Raw genomic sequence first — 22,942 nt, 5'->3', positions numbered from 1 at the left:
AATACAGTATAGGTCACACGGATTTAGGGGAAGTAATACAAGTAGTCAGTAACACCATTTTCACATTGTTTGAGTTGAACCCCACTTGTATCTCTTTTGAGTGCTAGTAAATATTTGACTTAATGGAAGAACCCCGCTGAGTTAACAAAGGTAGAGGCAACCAAGTGCCTCCAAGGCCCAGAAGAGAGTCACAGCCTGATGAGGAGGCAGTGAGTGTGGAAGATGGGGCATAAGGCACAGTTGGGGTCAGCCATGGCCCTTCCTGAGCTAGTCCCTGTCTGTAAGATGGGGATGAAAGCATTTACCTCTCAAGGGTGCTGGGGGTCCCAAACAGTGCAGGAGTAACAACACAAGGCACTCTGAACCTGCCCCTGCAGAAAATATATAACTTTATTGAGGCCTAGTTTAAGACATATCATCTTAATTCACACATTGAGTTTAATTAATCTAATTCAATGATTTTTTAGTAAATTTACCAAGTTGTGCAAACATCACTATAAATCAGTTTGATATTTCCATCATCCCAGTATGATCCTTTGGGCAGGCCGGGTGGTGGCTCACACCTATAATCCCAGCACTTTGGGAAGCCAAGGCGGATGGATCACTTGAGGCCACGAGTTTGAGACCAGCCTGGCCAACATGGTAAAACCCAATTTCTACTAAAAATACAAAAATTAGCTGGGCGTGGTGGCACATGCCTGTAATCCCAGCTACTTGGGAGGCTGAGTTTCAAGAATCGCTTGGACCCTGGAGGCAGAGGCTGCAGTGAGCCATGATCACACTGCTGCACTCCAGCCTGGGCAACAGAGCAAGACTGACTCAAAAAAAAAAAAGTTGTTTGGGCATATTTGCAGTTCCCACCTCTAGCCTCAGGCAACTGCTAATCATCTACTTTCTATCTCTATAGATTTGTTTATTCTGAACATTTCCTATCAGTGGAGCTAAACAGCGTGTGGTCTTTTGTGTCTGGCTTCCCCTAGTGTCATGTTTTTGAAGTTTGTTCACGTTGTAGCATGCATCAGTGCTTCACTCCTGTTTATTCCCAAATAGCATTCCATTGTATGGATAGACCACGTTTTGCCTGCCCATTTACCAGTTGATGGACATTTGGGTTGTTTCCAATTTTTAGTTATTATGAACAATGCTGCTGAGAACATTTGCATGCAAATCTTTGTGTGAATACATTTTTTTGTTTCTCTTGGGTAGGTACTTAAGAGTTGGAATTGCAGGACAGATGTGGTGGCTCACACCTGTAATCCCAGCACTTTGGGAGGCCAAGGCAGGTGTATCACGAGGTCAGGAGTTTGAGACCAGCCTGACCAACATGGTGAAACCCCATCTCTACTAAAAATATAAAAATTAGCCAGGTGTGGTGGTGCTCACCTGTAATCCCAGCTACTCAGGAGGCTGAGGCAGTAGCATCGCTTGCACCCGGGAGGCGGAGGTTGCAGTGAGCCGAGATCGCACCACTGCACTCCAGTCTGGGCGACAGAACAAGACTCTGTCTCAAAAAAAAAAAAAAATTTAGACTTGTTGGGTCACATGGTAAATTTATGTTTGACTCTTTGAGAAACTATAACGCTCGTTTCCAAAATCGCGGCTCCACTTTACATTACCATAGCAGTGTATGTATGGAGGCTCTTGGTTCCCCAGTTATTGTCCGTCTGTCTGTGAAGTGGCAGCTCAGTGTGGTTTTAATTTGCATTTCTTAATGATGGGTGATGTTGAACATCTTTTCATGTGCTGACTAACAATTTGTATATCTTCTTAGGTGAAATGTTTATTGAAATCTTTTGCCTATTTTTGGCTCAGTGATACAGGAGTGCTTTAGATGTTTCAGTACAAGCCCTTTATCCGATATATGTTTTGCAAATATTTTCTCATAGTCTGTTGCTTGTCTTTTCATTTTTTTAATAATGTCTTTGGAAGCACTAAAGGTTTTAATTTTGCTAAGCCAATTTATCAAAGTTTTGTTTTTGTTTTTGTTTTGAGACAGAGTCTTGCTCTGTCGCCCAGGCTGGAGTGCAGTGGTGTAATCTCGGCTCACTGCAACCTCTGCCTCCCGGGTTCAAGTGATTTCTCCTGCCTCAGCCTCCCGAGTAGCTGGGATTACAGGCATGCACCACCATGCCTGGCTAATTTCTTTGTATTTTTAGTAGAGATGGGGTTTTACCATATTGGCCAGCCTGGTCTCGAACTCCTGACCTCAAGTGATCCCAAAGTGCTGGGATCCCTGGCCTCCCAAAGTGCTAGAATTACAGGTGTGAGCCACTGCGCCTGGCCTGACTTCATTTTTAAATTAAATGGCAGACAAATAATGTCTGTATAACATGTGTACACCTTAAAGAATAATAAAATGAATACCTGTGTACCTTGCACCTTGCTAAAAAAAAAAAAATTATACTAGTACCTTGTCCCCTGTCTGATGGACTCTCCTTCCCTTCCCTTCAGAGACCAAGCTCCTGAATTTTTTGTCATTCATTCCTTTGCTTTATAGTTTTGCTGTATGTCTATTTAACTGTGAACAGCATAATGTTTACATTTGCCTGTTTTGACCTTTATGCAAATGTAATCATAGTGAAGGTATTTTTCTATGACTTGTTCTTTTTTTCACTATGTTCCCAAGAGTCATCTATTTTGAAACCCGGGTTGTACTTGTTTGCGTATTTTTAAAAGTTTTTATAGATTCAGGGGGTACATAGATACATTGCATAGTGGTGGGGTTTGCACTTCTTGGGTACCCATCACCTGAGTAGTGGGTTGTAGTTCGTTCATTTTCAGGTATTCCATTTATGTGAACTTATGACAATTTATTTTTCCAGCTGTTGACTATGATTGGAGTTATTTCTTGGCTTTTGCTGTTAAAGTGATGCTGTGAACACTTTCTGGTTATCTGTGGGAGATAGAGTTTTGCTAGGCTATATGGCTAGGAGTAGAATTGCTTGGTTGGAGGGTGTGTGGTTCAACCTCATTGATAATGTCAAGATGTTTTCCAGAGTGGAGTGCCAATTACACTATACTTCCATCATAGCTGTATTAGTTTACTATCACTGCTTAAACAGATTGCCACAGACTTCATGGCTTGAAACAATACAAATTTATTATCTTACAGTTCTGGAGGTAAGAAATGTGAAATGGCTGTCACTGGGTTAAATCACGGTGTTGCCTGGGCTGTGTTCCTTGGTGGCTGTAGTGGAGGCTCCACTTTCTCGTCTTTTCCAGCTTTTAGACACTGCCTGCAGCTGTTGGCTCATGGCCCCTTCTTCCATCCTCAATGCCAACAAGGGTCAGTTGAATCTTTCTTACACTGCATCACTTGGACACTGACTCCTGCCTCTGTCTCCACATACAAAAGCCTTTGTGATTACATTAGGCCCACTGAAGGCCAGGCGCCGTGGCTTGCATCTGTAATCCAAGCACTCTCTATCCAAGGTGGGAGGATCGCTTGAGCCCAGGAGTTCGAGACCAGCCAAAGCAACATAGCGAGACCCTGACTCTACAGAACATTTTAGAAATTAGCCAGGTGCAGTGTTGTGTGCCTGTAGTCCCAGCTACCTGGGAGGCTGAGGTGGGAGGATCACTTGAGCCCAGGAAGTCGAGGCTGCAGTGAGCTGAGATTGCACCTGTGCACTCCCGCCTGGGAGACAGCAAGACCCTGTCTCAAAAAAAAACAAAAACAAAAACAAAAAAATAAACAAAAATGACATTGGGCCACTGGAATAATCCAGGAAAACCTCCCTATTTTAAGACCAGCTGATTGGCAACCTTAAGTCCATCCGCTATCTTAATAACCCTTTGCTCTGTAATGTAATGTAATGTAGTGCAGGCTTCAGGGATTAGGATGTGGACATCCTTTGGGGGGCTGTTATTTTGCCTACCACAATTAGTGTTTGAGCATCTAACAATCGACAGAGTTTTGCTCTTGTTGCCCAGGCTGGCGTGCAATGGTGCTATCTCGGCTCACTGCAACCGCCGCCTCCCGCATTCAGGAGATTCTCCCACCTCAGCCTCCCAAGTAGCTAGGATTACACGCATGCACCACCATGCCTGGCTAATTTTGTATTTTTAGTAGAGACAGGGTTTCACCATGTTGGTCAGGCTGGTCTCGAACTCCAGACCTCAGGTGATCCGCCCGCCTCAGCCTCCCAAAGTGCTGGGATTACAGGCATGAGCCATTGTGCCTGGCCAGAATGCCTGGGATCTTTCACTTGAACTCTGTGTGACTTGGGCAGGTCACCTCACCTCCAAAGGCTGCGTTTTCCTTATCCATAATAAAATGGGGATCATTACCTTTATCATCAAGGGTTGCTGTGAGAATTAAACGAGATAAGGCCTACAAAGTCTTAGCACAGTGCTGGACAAATAGAAGCAAGTCAATAAAAATGTTTTCCTATTTATTGAGTCATCCATTCATCTAATCGCTCTTGAGTGCCAGGCCCTGGACCTCACCCATTCAGCCTTCAAAAGCTGTATACCAAGCACCCATCTTTGTCATAAAATAAGTCCATTTGTTTGGGACATCCACAGGCAAAGTGCCAGTCTGCATGTTTTATGAGCTTTAGTTTTATTGCTGTGCTCAGTGTTGTTTAGAGTGCACTGTGTGTACACCCAGTTGCTCAGGCTGTCTTCCTTGGGGAGACAAATCGCTGGGCACACGCCTCTCCTTATGCTTACTTATGTCTTTGTTCTAGGAATGACAAAATTAAATGTAAGCAGACAGGCAACATTTTTCCTTTCTGTCTTCAGATGATTTGCAAGGCATGAAGTGGTAGTATGTTTCACCTGAGATAAGGACGCAAGCCTGTCTTCACCCTTGCGTGGACAGGGAGTTGCATTAGGAACATTTTTCTCTTATTTATAATGTTGTCTTCCTTTGTATTCTTGTTATTTTTTAAAACTTAAGAGCAATTTCTCAATTCCTGAGTTGGACTTTTGAGTGTTCAGTCAGTTCTCTAAACAGTGTCTTTGGCAGACAAAGTACTTGGATCAGAAGAATCCTGTGGGAAATAGAACTAGCTCTGTTGATCATTCTGAGTCATTCTGTTTTTGAGACTAAAATCTATGCTTTCCAGAGACTATTATATAGTCTGAAAAATAAAAACAAGTTACTTAGGACTTTCAGAGGTCCTTCTTACCTATATATGTGGTGGCAGTGGTGGTAGTGGTGGCGGTGTTGGTGGCGGTGTTGGTGGCGGTGTTGGTGGTGGTGGTGGTGTTGGTGGTGGTGGCGGTGATGGCGGTGGCGGTGGCGGCGGCGGCGGTGGCGGCGGTGGCGGCGGCGGCGGCGGCGGCGGTGGCGGCGGCGGCGGTGGCGGTGGTGGTGGTGGCGGTGGTGGCGGTGGCGGTGGTGGTGTTGGTGGCGGTGGTGGTGTTGGTGGCGGTGGTGGTGATGGTGGTGGTGGTGGTGGTGGTGGCAGTGGCGGTGGTGGTGGCGGTGGCGGTGGTTGTGGTGGTGGGGTGTGTATGTGCACGTGTGCTCACATGTGCAATGTGTACGTAGCCCACGTGTGCACTAGTTTCCTGCTGAATAATACTTTGGATGGATGGGAGATCTTTTTAAATTGAGATAAAAAATATCAATGTATGTGTTTTAAAATAATAATTTAAATGCCTGACCGACGGGATGATTCACAGTAAGTCTTCCAGGAGACAGAACACATCACTCCTTAGAACTCCAAAATTGGCCTCCCAGGCAAGATCTAAAACTTCACCAAATCATTTCTCCCAGGCAGACGCGTGCCATGCCTACCAGATCATTCACCGCAATGGGATTCCTGACGAACAGATCGTTGTGATGATGTACGATGACATTGCTTACTCTGAAGAGTAAGTGGGGAACACTTGGAACTTGGTGGGGAAGGACTTCAGGGTATTTAAAAAAAGGTCACATAGACTCACAGGAATCCTAGTGGCCTAATGTTAAAATATATAAGAGACTCCCAGACAGAAGATCACAGGGATACCTCATGTTGAGCTTTTTTTTTTTTATTATTATTTATTTGAGACAGTCTTGCTCTGTTGCCCAGGCTGGAGTGCAGTGGTGCGATCTCGGCTCACTGCAACCTCCACTTCCTGGGTTCAAGTGATCCTCCCACCTCAGCCTCCCAAGAAGCTGGGACTGCAGGTGTGCACTGCCATGCCCAGCTAATTTTTGTATTTTTAGTAGAGACAGGATTTCACCATGTTGGCCAGGCTGGTCTTGAACTCCTGACCTCAAGTGATCCGGCTGCCTTGGCCTCCCAAAATGCTGGGATTACAGATGTGAGCCACCATGTCTGGCCCTCATGTTGAGCTTCGACCATAACTTGGGTGTGCCCTGGGAATGGCAAAGACATAGGAAGTGGGTGCTGGTCGCTGCTTTGAAAGGGTCTAAAGCCGAGTTCCTCCTCACCTTCGAGGACTTGTTGGATTCTATGGTGCTTGCTCCTAAGCTCCGAGCAGGCTGCAGCACAGGGGACCTGCACGTAGAATGTTTTTGTTTGTAGGTTAGATACTCCTACTACCTTCTTTCTATACTTATTTTATTACTTGCTGAGTTTAACTTCACAAATAGTTCCCTTGTGCCTGCTTATCTGATTTCTTGCAGAGATCAGAGGCAGCAAGTATGGGCATAAACTCAGCGAGTTCTAACCTCCTAGCTCCGTGGTCACCCTGCTGCGGTGAAGGACGCTACCCTTACTGTGGTCACATTCTCAGCTCATACATCACCCACTCTGACGCTTTAACGCCTAAGCTCTTGTATTAAAGTCTTGTTCTCTGTCCTGTCTCTTTCTGAAAGTAGTTTCACTCTGAGAGAGCTTTTGATGAGACCTTGCCCTCACGATGCTCTCTGGTTTCCAGCAGGCAGCCAGGCGCACCTATGCTTTGGTCCCTGCCCGAGGCTTTTCGGGCTCAGCTCCTCACTGCCTCTGCCAAGAGCTCTTGGGCTGTGGGACTGCTGAGATCCCCAAGCTGCTCAAACCACTCACACGTTGGCCACCCTGCAGGCCATAAGTTGTTTCTTTGACCAACATAGACGTTTACTATTTTTTCGCATAACATACATGTGTTTGAAGAGAGAGATTTCGGAGGCATGCCACATCTCGTTTAAATTGTGTCCTTTAATTTTCAGCAATCCCACTCCAGGAATTGTGATCAACAGGCCCAATGGCACAGATGTCTATCAGGGAGTCCCGAAGGACTACACTGGAGAGGTGAGTGGCTTCTACGGTTGGAGCCAGCTGGTTTAGTTTTCATTTTAGTGATGATTTTTCCCTCTTTCTTCTGTTTCTAGAATCAGAATCTCCCTAGACTGGCTTCTGGTCGGTGTTTCACATTCGTATTAGGATTTTTGCCTGAGGAGTAAATTATGAGAGTTTTGAAAGAAAGCAGAGGAAAAGAGAATGTTTAGAATAAGTTGCAATCCACTGATAGTTCCCAGTCTTCTCATACTTTAGGCCTGACCATGTAGTTTCATCCATATTAACCTTTCTTGAGATATCACCATTAATCTGATCATAGATTACCTGTGCTCTTTTATAAAAATCAGTTTTCTCAGTACCAGGCTTGGTGCAAAGTATCTCAGGATTTTTGCTGAGATAGTTTTTCATTTATTATTGTTATATAGTTTATTATATAGTGTATTATAGCTATAATAGTATATTACTTCCAAAAACTTTTCTGTTCCTCCTAGTTGATTGAGACTGTCTCAATTGACACATTTTTAAAATCGACCGTGATGCCTTCATTCACCTGGTTTTCATAGTCTGTTTTAAATATCGGATCTTTTAGGAATTAATTATCCTTTTGATAAGAAACTTTTATCTGATGTTTAACAATTCTTTGTTTCATTTTATTTTATTTTTCTTTTAAAGTCAAATACAATTAAATTTAACATATCATACAGGTAAAAAAGATGACCGTATTTAATGAAATTGTTTCTGTATAGTGTTTGTTTGTTTGAGATGGAGTCTTGCACTGTTACCCAGGCTGGAGTGCAGTGGCACAATCTTGGCTCACTGCAACCTCCGCTTCCCGGGTTCAAGTGATTCTCCTGCCTCAGCCTCCATAGTAGCTGGGATTACAGGCAGGTGCCATGATGCCTGGCTAATTTTTCTACTTTCAGTAGAGATGGGGTTTCACTGTGTTGGCCAGGCTAGCCTTGAACTCCTGACCTCAAGTGTTCCGCCCGCTTCGGCCTCCCAAAGTGCTAGGATTACAGGCGTGAGCCACGGCACCCGACCAAAAGTGTTTGCTGTTAAGCCATGAGCCTTGGAATGTGCAGGCTGGTGGCATGGGTCGGTTGCAGACTCAGCCAACTCTCTGGGTTGGAGCGACAGCTGCATCTGATTGTGGCTCCTAATTCTTTGTAGGATGTTACCCCACAAAATTTCCTTGCTGTGTTGAGAGGCGATGCAGAAGCAGTGAAGGGCATAGGATCCGGCAAAGTCCTGAAGAGGTAATGTCTGTTTACGGATACTACACTTCTCTCAATGGCTTGGGACCCCCGTATAGAGAATTGAAACAGGTGTTGTTCTGTGCCCCTAGCCTGTTTACCTGTGAGAAATTACAGAGTGGAGAGTTTTGTTCTGACTTAGGACAGGTGCTTAGGGCTGTTGTTTCAGTGGCTTCTCTTGGTGGCCCATTTCTGCACTGAATTCACCTTATGATCCAGGGCCCCTCATTATTAATAAAATGTTCCTATCACTTAAACTCCTCGTTCCTTGTCTGGGGATCATAGCACAGGGATGTCCCACTGCCAGCGGAGCCCCTGAGGCAGGTGTGAATCTGAATCCCTGTGCCCAGATTGCAGGGCCACCAGCCCTGTGCTCTGATCACAGATCAGCCCAGCGGGGAGAGGCACATTCGTAAGTCCCTTCATATTGGAGGAAGTGGACTTTCATATTGGGGAACACGAACCCCAGTGCTTACCCCCACTGGCTGTGGGCTAGAGATGTCTTGTTGTTTAGTAATTGCTCATGTGGCATTTTTATGTGATGCCAGAGATTCTAGTAGCATATTTCTTTTAAGCTGGAAGGGAGGCCTGGGCACAAGTAAGCTCGTGTGGATTAGTGCAGAGGCTGGGTACAGTGGCTCACGCCTGTAATCCCAGCACTTTGGGAGGCCAAGGTGGGCGGATCACTTGAGATCAGGAGTTGAAGACCAGCCTGGCCAACATGATGAAACCCCATCTCTACTAAAAATACAAAAATTAGCCAGGCGTGGTGGCATGCACCTGTAATCCCAGCTACTCTGGTGGCTGAAGGAGAATTGCTTGAATCCAGGAGGTGGAGGTTGCAGTGAGGCAAGATTGTGCCACTGTACTCCAGCCTGAGTGACAGAGTGAGACTCTGTCTCAAACACACACACACACACACACCCACCCTGACCAACAGTGTGAATCCCCGTCTCTACTAAAAATACAAAAATTAACCAGGCGTGGTGGCGTGTGCCTATAATCCCAGCTACTCGGGAGGCTGAGGCAGGAGAACTGCTTTAACCTGGGAGGCGGAAGTTACAGTGAGCTGAGATCATGCCATTGCACTCCAGCCTGGGCGACAGGGCAAGACTCCATCTCAAAAAAAAAAAAAAAAAAAAAATTAGTATGGAGATGGACATCTGTGAGGGTGAACCAAATTGGCTTCATGTAAGTTACTACATCTCTGCCACTTTGAAGCAGCGCCATCTGGTGGAAGCCCTGGTGAGGCAGGTAGGTGGGCATCCAGACTGTGGGCCACAGGAGGCCTGGAGGGGGGGAGGCTGCAGGCCTGTGTTGAGGTCATTTTGGGGAGATCTGGTTGGAGAGTGTGGCTGCCTGGGATGAGGCCCAATTGCCAAAGGACCCCACTATCCACCTCACACCAGGTCTGTCTGATGGGTTGCCCAGGAAAGGCCCCTCCTCCTTTCCAGCCGTAGTTCAGAATTTGGAGGCTCTAGGATCTATACTGTGGTTCAGAATCACACCAAGGGGAGTGGAGGGGACAGGCCAGACACCGGGCACCGGGCCCTTGTGTTCATCTTCAAACCTGGTTGGGCAACTCTACTCCCCAAACTTCTTAATTTTTTGATTAGGGCAGCTTTTCAGAGAAATAGAAGTAAAAACAGAAAAAGGAAATGATTGACCCCCGATTCCTTCTTGGCAGTGGCCCCCAGGATCACGTGTTCATTTACTTCACTGACCATGGATCTACTGGAATACTGGTTTTTCCCAATGAAGATGTGAGTTTTCTTAACGTTTTAAGGACAAACTAGCAGAACAGAAAAGCAAGCCTAGGTGTCGAGATTAAACCCATAGCGTGTATTTTCTAGTGTCCTGCCAGGGTTGGTTTGTACGTGTGGTGGGTGGGAGTGGGGGACAGGTTTAGCAGCTTGAAATCTATCCAAGGACATCTCTTCCAGACAGTTTTCCCTGCTTTTCTGTTCATGTCGCAGCGTCGGTAGCTGTCTCAGGATGTGGGTGTATCACACTAGACCTGAGAATAGACCAAAAGCTCCGGACAAAGTAATGGGTGAAGAGGTACATCCTCTTGCCCTTTTTAAATGCGTGCATAAAACATGTGACGACATTCTGGGGTTATGTTCTTCACCATGATTACTTCTAGGGATTGGTAGAAAAGAGTTTATGAAGGATCATCAGAACTTTACTAGTGGCTTATCCAGCAAATAGTTTCTCTTGATGTGTTGGTCTGACAATATTCTCACCTTTCAGCTTCATGTAAAGGACCTGAATGAGACCATCCATTACATGTACAAACACAAAATGTACCGAAAGGTAATTCAGCCCTTGGGGCAGCCTTGTGGGGGCGGGGGGTGTGAGGAAAGCCGTGAGTGCAGAGCCCACAGTCCCGTGACCGTCCTCCAACTGTGGGTGCTGTGTTTTCTAGAAAGGGGATCCTTCCAATCCCTGGTTTCCCAGGATGAGGCTTTCGGCTTTAGCTATTAGACTGGAATCATGGAGAGCTTGTTAAAACAGTGTGGGCCTCGCCCCCAGAGTTTGACCCAGTAGGTCTGCGGAGGGGGCCTGAGAATTTGCCTTGGGTTTCCATGTGATCCTGCTGCTGCTGGTCTTCGGCCCACACTTTGCAGACTCCTATTCCTAGGACTGTCCTCAATTTCGGGCAGCTGGGGAGGAAAATACCACTATCTTATTCTCACTTTGAGCCTTTCTCACCCCTATAGCACCCTTTATGGAAACTGTGCAGGGCCAGAGTTTTTGGCTGGGTGTGGTGGCTCACTCCTGTAGTCCCAGCACTTTAGGAGGCTGAGGCGGGAAGATCACTTGAGGCCAGGAGTTTAAGACCAGCCTGGGCAACATAGTGAGACCGTGTCTCTACTAAAAAAACAAAAAAACAAAACAAAAAAAAACCTGCATGGGTTGGGTGATACGTGACAGTAACGCAGAAAGATGGCCTGCTGCACTGTATGGTCTTTGAAACTCCTCCCTGCACTGGATGGTGGAACCGTTTTCCTTAGCATCCCATGGCTCCGTTTTCTCTGCATTATTTCAGCTACTAGACGATTTTATTCCATTAGCAATGAATAAATTTGTGTGGCAGCAGCTTCCATAGCTTCTGGCAGCAGCCTCTTTACAGCAGTAATGTCTCCAGAAGCAAGCCTGGAGGACTTGTTAGGAATGGGTAGAGAGAGTGGGCAGAGCTCCAGTAGCATGGCTGGAGGCCCGTACCTGGATGGGGTGAGCTCACCTGCCCCGTCTGCCTCACAGATGGTGTTCTACATTGAAGCCTGTGAGTCTGGGTCCATGATGAACCACCTGCCGGATAACATCAATGGTAGGTGGTTGGGGCGCCGGCCTCGACCTGGGCTGGCAAGCAGGTTGCTCAGACACCGCTGACATGGAACTGAGCATTCTCCGTAAGCAGGGGCTGCTGAGGGCAGCCTGGGCCATAGAAGTGGGGAGATACTTGCAGGTAGCTCTGGGCTTCCTCTGCTTCTGAAGCACTGGTAGTCAGGGAATAAAGAATCTGTATGTGAGCCTCACAGTGCTCTTCCAGGTTCTCGTAAAACTACTGAAGCTAAAACTACATGGGCTTTGGACTAGCCTCCATCCTTTGCAATGTGTTGGTTGCACTCTGACCTCAAAGCAGGTGACTGACTCTCTTTGACCCTCAGTTATCCCCATCTGTAAAATGGGGATAAAGATAGTGTGTGTCTGTTGGGAGACTTGTATTTTAAACACTAGCATTTGTCCAGCACAATTCTAAGCCCATGGTAGAGAGATAGTAAGTGGTAGCTTTTGTATAGGTTCAGTTAATCTAGATGTTTCTTCAATAAATGTCAGATCTCTCTGGAAACCAAAGTAAGCCCATATTGTTCAAGTTTCCTGTGCTGTGGAAATGTCAGCATTCTTCCAGAATAGCATGATGTCCTAAGCATGCCAATTTGCCAATTGCTGCAAAAAACATCCACCAGCTGGCTCCTCTTTCTTCCGCATTTAATTTTAGATGAGTTATTGTAATCGAATACACAAGTCTGGGTATAGTTACGTGTCCCTGCCCTCCTGTGTGGATCATAAGTAGCATGCTTCGATTTCACCGGGGGAGAAAGAAGGACTCAAGCTTCAAGCGTAATCCAAGGCAGGAATAAAATGCAACTAAAAGATCATCTTTAATTCCTCGTAGTTTATGCAACTACTGCTGCCAACCCCAGAGAGTCGTCCTACGCCTGTTACTATGATGAGAAGAGGTCCACGTACCTGGGGGACTGGTACAGCGTCAACTGGATGGAAGATTCGGACGTGGTGAGCCCTTTGGGGGCTGGCTGTTCAGCTGGGGTTTAACCGTCAGACTCTGATTGTCAAAGGTCTCTAATGGTCTCACTTTTTGCAGGAAGATCTGACTAAAGAGACCCTGCACAAGCAGTACCACCTGGTAAAATCGCACACCAACACCAGCCACGTCATGCAGTATGGAAACAAAGTGAGTCGGGAGCCTCGCGTGCTGGCCCTCTGTTCCTTGTGTCCTAGGTGGACTTGCCTGGAATATTGATCTCTTGCTAAAGAGACATGGGATCTGAGTGAGGAATGCTTGAGGCAGGGATGCCTCTGCCTCTCATGCCACTCCATCCTGGGGACCTGTGGGCTTTGGAATCAGACCTTTCTAGGTTCAAACTTGCAGAGTTGTGAGACTTTGGGCAAGTGATTTCACTTCTGTGAATTTGTTTTCTCATTGGTTGAAACCCAAGCGTACAAGGTAGCTAGGAGCATGCAAGAGGGCTATGCGTTACTTATGCTAAACACAGGCCTAGTGTGCAGCAAGGGATCACTGACTCAAAAGCTGCTGCTTTACGGTTTGTAGATTGTCCCACAGCCACTCTGCACCTTGGATTTTCTGGGGTCCTGCCCCTTTGCAAATGGCAGGTTGTTACCTTTACCCTTTGGCTATAAATTGGAGACATTTTATCCTCCTCCAAATATGTCCAGAAGGGACCTGTGTGGTTAAATGGTGTTGCAGTAAGTGGCTGCTAAAAGCTTGGGCCCTAAGTGAAGCTGCTGGGGCTAGCGTTTGGGATGTGCAAACACCGTAACAAATGTGCAGGGCCTCCCAATTGTTCACCATCCCCCAAGAAGCCCACCCCCAGCGGAGAGCTCGCCAGCTGAGATCTGTTCCTTGGGCACAAACGTTGGCCTTCTAGAAGAAACTGGAGTCAGTAAATCCAGCCATGGTTAGCCCTTCAGCAGGGCATGGGATGGGGGACATGAGACCTGCACCCAGGGCACAATGACCTGGTCAGGCTTTTGAGCAGGTGTAGGAGAGAGTTGGAGCAGAGGGACGGCCAGGGAAAGGTGACACGGAGAAGGCAGGGTCAGTGGTGGCATAGCCCTGGCCATGTGGGGGCCCCGCCTTGGGCTTTCCGTTCTCTTCACAGTGTCCTCATCATTGGCCATTTCTGATCTTGGTTGAGGAGTTGTGGTGGATCTTCTCCAAACTCTGTGTTTTTATATAGATTGGTGTGTGTGGTATTGCTGATTTTAGAACTGTTGTTAGATTATTGTTGCTTGCTTTAGGAAGAGAACGCTTGCAGCATTTTCCCTTCTGATTGGGAGCCAGTCTGTAGTGACCGCTACAGCCAAATCGAGCCTGGCCGCTGTGCCCATTTGGTAGCTCTTGATGCCAAGCATCAGCCTGGCCTCTCTGTGGCCTTAGCTCTGCCCTTCCCAGTGGACCCAGACTTCAGCTCTAACCTGGGCAGATGCTTTGTACCTTCCCACTACTGGTCCTTAGGGACTTGCAGGTGAGTGCGGGGGAGTGAGCACATACAGGTCACCCGCCTGGATAGGCGGCATCCTTTGCAGGTGACATTCTTTGCCTGGCATCCTTTGCAGCAGAACTGCTATTCTTTTACATATGAAGGGCACTGCTGATGCAGTCAGGCAGAGCTTGGACCAGAGCTGTCTGGTGAAAGAATAGCAGTTCTGCAAAGGATGCCAGGCATTTTGAGTCACTCACTGGTAGATTTCAGGGGCTCCCGTGCATTGCCTGCGTACTGCTGGGGTGACCATGCCTTTCAGACTGTGACTGTGGCCCTGTGGTCCTGAAAGCATGAGGAGTAAATGTGAGCCTCTGAGGGAGAGGCTGGACTTGGGGTATGTTGGGCACCTCTGCTCCTCCCACTCAAACCAGCTCTCTCTCTCCCTCTCTCTCTGGCCTTCTCTCACTCTCTCTCGCTTTCTCTCTCGCTCTCTCTTGCTGTCTGTCTCCCCAGACAATCTCCACCATGAAAGTGATGCAGTTTCAGGGTATGAAACGCAAAGCCAGTTCTCCCGTCCCCCTACCTCCAGTCACACACCTTGACCTCACCCCCAGCCCTGATGTGCCTCTCACCATCATGAAAAGGAAACTGATGAACACCAATGATCTGGAGGAGTCCAGGCAGCTCACGGAGGAGATCCAGCGGCATCTGGATGTGAGTAGTGGTGAAAGGAGCTGTGCCCAGGTGCTGTCCCCAGCCCAGGTGGGCAGCATGCATGAGCACGGCCCTGCCTCCTATGCTCCCTGCCACACAGGAGTATGGGGGGACAGAAGCCAGCCTTTGTCCTCCATGTAACGGAAGCGGGTGGGCGGAGCCGTGGTTGCCTCCCATCTTCATGAGTAAACTAACCTTGACCTCTTCGGTAGTAGGGAGCAGTGGAATGGGGGCCTATCTCCCCTGTATCGTACCAAGAAGCCATGTACATGGGTGTTTCCCTCTTTTATACCTTGTTGCTTAGAGGATATTTTTATTTTGTTGCTTATTAAGTTATTAGCTAATCATATTCATTTTAAAAATCCAGAGACAGGTACGGTGGCGTGCGCCTCTAGTCCCAGCTACTTAGGGGGCTGAGGCAGGAGGATTCCTTGAGTCTGGGACTTTGAGGTCAGCTTGGGCAACCTAGCAAAACCCCTTCTCTTAAAAAAAAAAAAAATCCAATCCACAAAAATTTCTGCTGTTCTCAGAAAAACATAGTCATGCCTAAAATTCTTTCTAAAATGCTTATGCCGTCCTTTCCAATCAGTGAGTCTGTTTTCAGTAGCTCATCAGTGTGTTTGGAGCTGGCAGAATTGCTATGTAAATTACAGCTGTGTGCTCACCGGAATGCTGGGCAGAGGGCTGCCTGTCCCTTCCCACAAAGCCAACTCTGTTAGCCCTTATCCCCATTGTCAGCACAGCACAGTGATGGATGTGCTGAAATATGGCCTGAGTTTTCTAGGCAAGATTTTTTTTTTTTTTTTTTTTTTTTTGAGACAAGAGTCTTGCTCTGTCGCCAGGCTGGAATGCAGTGGTGTGATCTCGGCTCACTGCAACCTCCGCCTCCTGGGTTTAAGAGATTCCCCTGCCTCAGCCTCCCAAGTAGCTGGGATTACAGGCATGTGCCACCATGCCCCAGTTAATTTTTGTATTTTTAGTAGAGATGGGGTTTCACCATGTTGGTCAGGCTGGTCTCGAACTCCTGACCTCAGGTGATCCACCCGTCTAGGCAAGATTCTTTTTTTAAATCAATGTGGTTTGTTTTAAATGCACATATCTAGTTATCTCCAAAATTGGTGCCCTGTGTGTGAAAAACGTATTAACCAGGACATATTTTTAGTTGGTGTCAAACGCAGTATAGCACAGTAGTGCTCAGACATTTTAGTCTTGGGCCTCTTTATTTATTAATTTTTTTGTAGAGCTGGGGTGTCACTATGTTGCCCAGGCTGGTCTCAAACTCCTGAGCTCAAGTGATCTTCCCACCTGGGCCCTGAAAGTGCTGGGATTACAGGAGTGGGCCACTGCACCCGGCCAAACCTCTTTATACTCTTTAAATTATTGATCCCAAAGAGCTTTTGTTCATGGTGGGTTATGTCTATTGATATTTATTGCATTAAATTAAGATGAGATGAAAGGACATTTTTGATAGTTCACAGAAAGTGAACCAGAGGTTTTTTGGTGATTTTTTTTTTTTTTTTGAGATGGAGTTCTGCTCTTGCTGCCCAGGCTGGAGTACAATGGCATGATCTCAGCTCACTGCAACCTCTGCCTCCCGGGTTCAAGCGATTCTCCTGCCTCAGCCTCCCGAGTAGCTGGGATTACAGGCACCCGTCACCACGCCTGGCTAATTTTGTATTTTTAGTAGAGACGGGGTTTCACCACGTTGGCCAGACTGGTCTCAAACTCCTGGCCTCAAGTGATCCACCTGCATCAGCCTCCCAAAGTTCTGGGATTACAGGCGTGAGGCACCGCACCTGGCTCAGAGTTTTCTTGTGTTTGCTTAAACAGCTGTGTAAATCATATAGGACTTCTTTGGTATCTGCTGCAAATTTGAAAACTATTTCCAAGACTGTTTAACTATTGCATAATTATACTTTTATGTAAAGTAAAAGATTATGAAAAAATTAAAACTAAGATTTAAAAATATTTAACTCATTTACAAATAACAATATTCTTAACAAATAACATTTTACACTAATATATTTTCTATGAGAAATAACCATTTTCCAAAACAAAAAGCATTGGGTGAGAAGAGTGGCATTGCTTTACATGTGGGAGTATCTCTTTTGTGTCCGGCATTGCTAGACGACAGCTGGATCCTTGAACTGGCTTCTGCTTTCGCCGTCGGGCGCTGTTCTTTCGGCTGAAGTGTAAGAAGAAAATCCAGCCTTGTAAAGATACAGAGTTGAGGAAGGGAAGACCTTCTGGAGCCTGAGAGCTCTTGGGGAGTCTGTGGTTCTGGACCACGCCTGGAGAACTGCTGGTCTAACACACAGTGGGTGGAGGGTCTTTGTGGAATTCAGATATGAAGCAAGCAAACCCTGGCTGGAGAGCGGGTAGGACAGAGCTTGCTTGTAGAGTGAAGGTTTTTTTTTTTTTTAGTTTTTTGATTTTTATTTTAATAGAGGCAGGGTCTTCCTGTGTTGCCCAGGCCGGTCTGGAACTGCTGGCCTCAAGTGATCCTCCTGCCTCGGCCTCCTAAAAGTACTGGGAGTACAGGCCTGAGCCACTGTGCCTGGCCAGAGTGAGGGTAGTGTAGAAGCATTTTCTTCTTTATGATGCTGTTTTTCATTGTCTGGAAAGAAAATAAAAGTCCCTCTGTGCCCTGCTGTGTAACCATTCAATAGTTTCCTGAATGGGCAGAGGTGCCCGTGGACACAGCACCCTCACGGCACAGTCGTCTGCTTTGGGGCACAGGTTCTGCCACCTCCTTTCTCCACAGCAAAGGTTGTTTTTTGATACAAATGTTTGCATCATGCCAGAAGATCCCCAAAAGGCAGGTCTTTCTGACCGTCGCACAAGTGGGCACAGACATCTCTCGCCTTTCTCGGAGCACATTGATTGTTATTTCCTCTAACCTGCGGGAGGCTGAGGGCTGTGTGGAGAGTAGCCTTTGAATGCACTTCTCACCGCACCTGGGTCCCTGAGAGACCGCATTCAGGGAGGCACATTCTGACAGGCCGCGTTTCTCCCCAGGCCAGGCACCTCATTGAGAAGTCAGTGCGTAAGATCGTCTCCTTGCTGGCAGCGTCCGAGGCTGAGGTGGAGCAGCTCCTGTCCGAGAGAGCCCCGCTCACGGGGCACAGCTGCTACCCAGAGGCCCTGCTGCACTTCCGGACCCACTGCTTCAACTGGCACTCCCCCACGGTGAGCCAGCAGGCTCTCCCCATGACCAGAATCCAGAAGCTGAATTCATATTGTCCCCTGGCAGTCACATTGGTTGTACGACCTTATAGAAGGTTCCATCCAGGCTGAGAAACAGTGGGCTCATTTCAGAGAGGAAGAAGGTTGTCCAAATTCACTAATTTTAAATCTTGGCCCCAGAACACTCTTCTTGTCCCAGTGGGTAGGAGAGTTTACCAGAGCCATAGATGACAGCTCTCACTTCTAGTTTGAAGAACAGTTACTTGTGTTCACACTTCTGCTGTCCCTGCCAAACCCCACCCTCGTCTCTACCCCTCACACGAGCCACACACATCTTCTCCCTTCTGAGTCTGTTCTGACCTCTTCCCAAGACAGTTGAAGTCAGGTGTGGCCCATGGAGAAGTACTGAGTTTCTGCAGATGTAGAATTGGAAGGCACCTGAAAAGCCTCCTGGTCAGTAGCATGTGGTGCTTCAATCCTTCTAGAGAAAGGTTGGCAAACTGGCCTACAGGTCTGTTTCTCCCCCATAACCTGTTTTTGTAAATAAAGTTTTATTGGGGCCGGGCATGGTGGCTCATGTCTGCAATCCCAGCACGTTGGGAGGCCAAGGTGGGTGGCTCACCTGAAGTCAGGAGTTCCAGACCAGCCTGGCCAACATGGTAAGACCTCATCTCTACTAAATATACCAAAATTAGCCAGACTTGGTGGTGCACGCCCGTAATCCCAACTACTCGGGAGGCTGAGGCAGGAGAATCGCTTGAACCAGGGAGGTGGAGGTTGCAATGAGCCGAGATTGTGCCACTATACTCCAGCCTGGGCGACAGAGTGAAACTCTGTCTCCAAAAAAAAGTTTTATTGGAACATAGCCACATCCTGCTCAGTTCCCTGTTGTCCCTGTCCCTGGCTTCTTTCACACTGGGGCAGAGTTAAGGTAGCTCGACTTTACCCCTCCAGTCTTGTTTTTTTTGTTTGTTTGTTTGTTTTAGACACAGTTTTGCTCTTGTTGCCCAGGCTAGAGTGCAGTGGTGTGATCTCAGCTCACTGCAACCTCTGCCTCCTGGGTTCAAGCAATTCTCCTGCCTCAGCCTCCCGAGTAGCTGGGATTACAGGCACGCGCCACCACACCTGGCTAATTTTCGTATTTTTAGTAGAGACAGGGTTTCACCATGTTGTCCAGGCTGGTCCTGAACTTCTGGCCTCAGGTGACCCACCTGCCTCGGCCTCCCACAGTGCTGGGATTACAAGCATGAGCCACCGCACCCGGCCCAGTCTTGGTCTTTTGACCTTTGGAGTCATGCACAGTGAACCTCTTCCTTTGTTCTCAGAGAGTTCTTGGGTTCCCCTGAAGTTTGTTTCAAGATAAACATCCCCGCTGCTTCACCCTTCCCTGGTGTGATCCAGCGTGGCTTTCACACGCCGTCCATCTCCCTCGCTGGCGTGTCCCTCCCAGAATCAAAAGGCAGACTTCCCGGGGAGATCCCAGGCCATGGCGGGGAGCAGAGCCATCGGGAGTTCCCTGTCAGGAGTCCTGCCCTCAGATTTGAGAGTGCAGAACCCCGCCAGCCCCCCAACTTGCATGCAAACCCTGGCATGTGTGCCTCTTTCCTGAGGGATCGTCCATAAATATCACCAGATTATCTAAAGGTTGGGAAAGGATCCATGAACCAAAATAGGGCAAGAGCCACTGGTCAAGATGCTTCCCCTCTGCAATTGCAAAAGTGGAGTGGATTGTGTGGTGAGATGAGGAAGTTTCATTCTTCTCGTTTGTTTTCTCCCAGTACGAGTATGCGTTGAGACATTTGTACGTGCTGGTCAACCTTTGTGAGAAGCCGTATCCGCTTCACAGGTAACTAATGCAGCGGTGACGCTTGAAAGGTCGATGTCATTCTGAAAGCAGAAGGGGCTGCCATCCTCTTCTGCAAGTGGGCATTTTCACTTCTGCCAGGAGCTCCCTCCAGCTTTCCTCTACAGCCATTTGTCAGCAGGGTCCAGAAGCCACGTTCTCAGTGACAGCTGCTGGGCGGGCCTGTCATAACTGCCTGCCTGCCGCATGTGGGTTTGCGTTTGTCTGCCTTTCTTCAGAGTTGACACGGTTCACCAAGTTCTCCTTCCTGTCTCTCGCAGGATAAAATTGTCCATGGACCACGTGTGCCTTGGTCACTACTGAAGAGCTGCCTCCTGGAAGCTTTTCCAAGTGTGAGCGCCCCACCGACTGTGTGCTGATCAGAGACTGGAGAGGTGGAGTGAGAAGTCTCCGCTGCTCGGGCCCTCCTGGGGAGCCCCCGCTCCAGGGCTCGCTCCAGGACCTTCTTCACAAGATGACTTGCTCGCTGTTACCTGCTTCCCCAGTCTTTTCTGAAAAACTACAAATTAGGGTGGGAAAAGCTCTGTATTGAGAAGGGTCATATTTGCTTTCTAGGAGGTTTGTTGTTTTGCCTGTTAGTTTTGAGGAGCAGGAAGCTCATGGGGGCTTCTGTAGCCCCTCTCAAAAGGAGTCTTTATTCTGAGAATTTGAAGCTGAAACCTCTTTAAATCTTCAGAATGATTTTATTGAAGAGGGCCGCAAGCCCCAAATGGAAAACTGTTTTTAGAAAATATGATGATTTTTGATTGCTTTTGTATTTAATTCTGCAGGTGTTCAAGTCTTAAAAAATAAAGATTTATAACAGAACCCAAATATTCACGTCCGACACTGACTTTGTGGTTGATGCTCCTGCACCTCCTAGCGGGGGCCTCCTCCGTCATCGTCTTTTCCAGCGTTATCGTCCCGAGTCTCCCCTCCCGCTGCTCTGCTGTTTTCTGCTCCTCTGCACTCCTTGGGCTCTGCAGCCTCCTGTGCCTTTGCTACTTGCTGTTCCTCCTGCCCTGGAACGCCTTTCCCATCTCCTCCACACACCCTCCAGGTGCAGTTTAAAGTAGCTTCTTTCCTCCAGCCTTCCTCACCTTCTCCCCACTCATCAAAAGTTGTTTTTGGCTGGGTGCGGTGGCTCATGCCTGTAATCCCAGCACTTTGGGAGGCCGAGGTGGGCAGATCACCTGAGGTCAGGAGTTCGAGACCAGCCTGGGCAACATGGTGAAACCCCGTCTCTACTAAACATACAAAAATTAGCTGGGCGTGGTGGCGCATGCCTGTAGTCCCATCTACTTGGGAGGCTGAGGCAGGAGAATCGCTTGAGCCCGGGAGGCAGAGGTTGCAGTGAGCCAAGATCACACCACTGCACTCCAGCCTGGGCGACAGAGTGAGACTCCGTCTCAAAAAAAAAGTTGTTTTCATTTAGAATCTTTAAAGTGAAGACCACCCCTTCCATGATTAGGGGATACACAAAATAGAAATAAAGATTTTATTACTTATAGGATCTGGGGTGTACGCAGCACATCTGGAGGCCACACACACACACACACACACACACACACACACACACACACACAGGTCAGGGAGTGCATGGAGAGAAAGAGGGACTCATGGACCACCACCTTTTTGGGTCCAGGGTGTTATTCAAACAGGTTTCCTGAGGGGAGCTCTAATTGGTGGTTTAGAGCTGGCTGGCATGAGTTCCAGGAGGTTGCACTGTAGCTAAGAGGTCACTGTGGCATATCTCCACAGTCCACGCAGGGTGCGAGGGTCAGGGGCCAGTCCTGCAGGCTGTATGTGGCTGGCCCATAGAGAGGTGGCCACCAGGAGGAAGTTGTATGTGGCAGAGATACTTGGATCAACCACATGGAGGAACTGGGAGGAGGTGGAGAACCGGAAACTGTCAAGGGTGGCTGAGCCCTGCTTGTGGCATGAGAAAGTCCAGCTAACTGTATGTTCAAAGTGGCTGCCAAAGCAACAAAGTTCTAAGAATCCACTGCAGAAGTACTGTCTCCTGTCCAGCTGCACTTTTGTCGCGTCTCTAATAGCACATGTCAGGTCTGCCCTACACCAGGCACTGGGGCAGGAAAGGGCGTCTCACTGCAGACCATGGGCCGCTCCAGAGGGGCTGCCTGACTTCTCTGTGTTCCCCTTGGTCCAGCGCCGCACACAGGGAGGTGTTCATGATGGATTTGTCAAAAACGTGTAAAAGTAACCCTGGCTACAGTAGTCTCCCCTTACCCCACAGGGGATACCTTAGACCCCCAGTGAATGCCCAAAACCGTGGAACCCTATACATAACGTGCACACATTTCTTTTTCCTTCACGATTTCACAGATGGGAGATTTGTTCTTAGCATAGATCTTAGCAACCTCAGCATACGATTTTTTTTCTAAGTCAAGAATGTTCACCTTTTCACTTTAAGAAAGCACTTCATGGCTTCTCTTTGGCATATCCCAATGGCATATTAATCATCACTACTCTTAAGCTTTGGGGCCATCACTAAGTAAAACAAGGGTGCCTTGAACACAAGCACTGAGATACCTTGACCACTGAGACTGCCTAAGTGACTAACGGGCGAGTAGCGTGGGCAGCCTGCAGCCCCCGGACAAAGGGAGGATTCATGTCCCAGGCAGCACAGAGTGGGATGGGTGCGCGATTCCGTCATGCTACTCAGAGCCACGTGCAACTGAAAACTTAAGAATTGTGTATTTCTGGAATTTTTCCATTTAATATTTTCAGGCCGCAGTTGACTTCAGGTAACTGAAGCCTCAGAAAGTAAAACTGGATCGATATAGGGGACTAGTGGATATCCATGCAATGGAGTATTGTGTAGCAATAAAGAGGACTGAAGTGCATGGGCATGACACATTAAGCCAACTGAAAGAGGCCAGCCACAAAAGACCACATAGGATTCCATTTTTACGAAATGTCCAGAATAGGCAAATCCTTAGAAATAGAAAATCCCTGGAATCCTTAGTTCCAGGAATGAGGGATAAGGGG

At 47.7% G+C, this 22,942-nt stretch overlaps 1 protein-coding gene across 11 annotated transcripts in view, besides 4 other annotated features; it reads left to right on the top strand.

The window, feature by feature from the left end:
• Positions 1 to 20,764, top strand: part of LGMN (legumain) — a 44,819-nt gene extending 24,055 nt beyond the window's left edge. For 5 of the 11 annotated variants that reach the window (NM_005606.7, NM_001008530.3, XM_017021463.2 and 2 more), the window contains 12 exons: positions 5,729 to 5,826; positions 7,112 to 7,193; positions 8,352 to 8,437; positions 10,122 to 10,197; positions 10,688 to 10,750; positions 11,702 to 11,768; positions 12,618 to 12,736; positions 12,825 to 12,914; positions 14,701 to 14,901; positions 17,920 to 18,090; positions 19,866 to 19,933; positions 20,212 to 20,764. In NM_005606.7, the coding sequence (NP_005597.3) occupies positions 5,729 to 5,826; positions 7,112 to 7,193; positions 8,352 to 8,437; positions 10,122 to 10,197; positions 10,688 to 10,750; positions 11,702 to 11,768; positions 12,618 to 12,736; positions 12,825 to 12,914; positions 14,701 to 14,901; positions 17,920 to 18,090; positions 19,866 to 19,933; positions 20,212 to 20,254 (1,164 nt within the window). In that variant the 3' untranslated portion in view covers positions 20,255 to 20,764. The remainder of the gene's footprint in view (positions 1 to 5,728; positions 5,827 to 7,111; positions 7,194 to 8,351; positions 8,438 to 10,121; positions 10,198 to 10,687; positions 10,751 to 11,701; positions 11,769 to 12,617; positions 12,737 to 12,824; positions 12,915 to 14,700; positions 14,902 to 17,919; positions 18,091 to 19,865; positions 19,934 to 20,211) is intronic. The other 6 variants (NM_001437397.1, NM_001363696.2, NM_001437394.1 and 3 more) reach the window with 3 other exon arrangements.
• Positions 14,316 to 14,940: an enhancer, noted in NCBI's record as "H3K27ac-H3K4me1 hESC enhancer chr14:93175978-93176602 (GRCh37/hg19 assembly coordinates)". NCBI's record gives its function as "activates a minimal SCP1, AML or CMV promoter by ChIP-STARR-seq in primed H9 embryonic stem cells {active_cell/tissue: H9 hESC(primed)}" and the evidence as "EXISTENCE:reporter gene assay evidence [ECO:0000049][PMID:30033119]".
• Positions 14,941 to 15,566: an enhancer, noted in NCBI's record as "H3K27ac-H3K4me1 hESC enhancer chr14:93175352-93175977 (GRCh37/hg19 assembly coordinates)". NCBI's record gives its function as "activates a minimal SCP1, AML or CMV promoter by ChIP-STARR-seq in primed H9 embryonic stem cells {active_cell/tissue: H9 hESC(primed)}" and the evidence as "EXISTENCE:reporter gene assay evidence [ECO:0000049][PMID:30033119]".
• Positions 19,892 to 20,071: an enhancer, noted in NCBI's record as "active region_8944". NCBI's record gives its function as "activates an Ori minimal core promoter by ATAC-STARR-seq in GM12878 lymphoblastoid cells {active_cell/tissue: GM12878}" and the evidence as "EXISTENCE:reporter gene assay evidence [ECO:0000049][PMID:35858748]".
• Positions 20,232 to 20,411: an enhancer, noted in NCBI's record as "active region_8943". NCBI's record gives its function as "activates an Ori minimal core promoter by ATAC-STARR-seq in GM12878 lymphoblastoid cells {active_cell/tissue: GM12878}" and the evidence as "EXISTENCE:reporter gene assay evidence [ECO:0000049][PMID:35858748]".
• Positions 20,765 to 22,942: the final 2,178 nt, after the last annotated feature.

The sequence above is a fragment of the Homo sapiens genome, chromosome 14, assembly GCF_000001405.40.
Source record: "Homo sapiens chromosome 14, GRCh38.p14 Primary Assembly".
NCBI classification, from domain to species: domain Eukaryota; kingdom Metazoa; phylum Chordata; class Mammalia; order Primates; family Hominidae; genus Homo; species Homo sapiens.
Note: the sequence above shows the minus strand (reverse complement) of the source record. Positions and strands in the feature narration are given on the sequence as shown.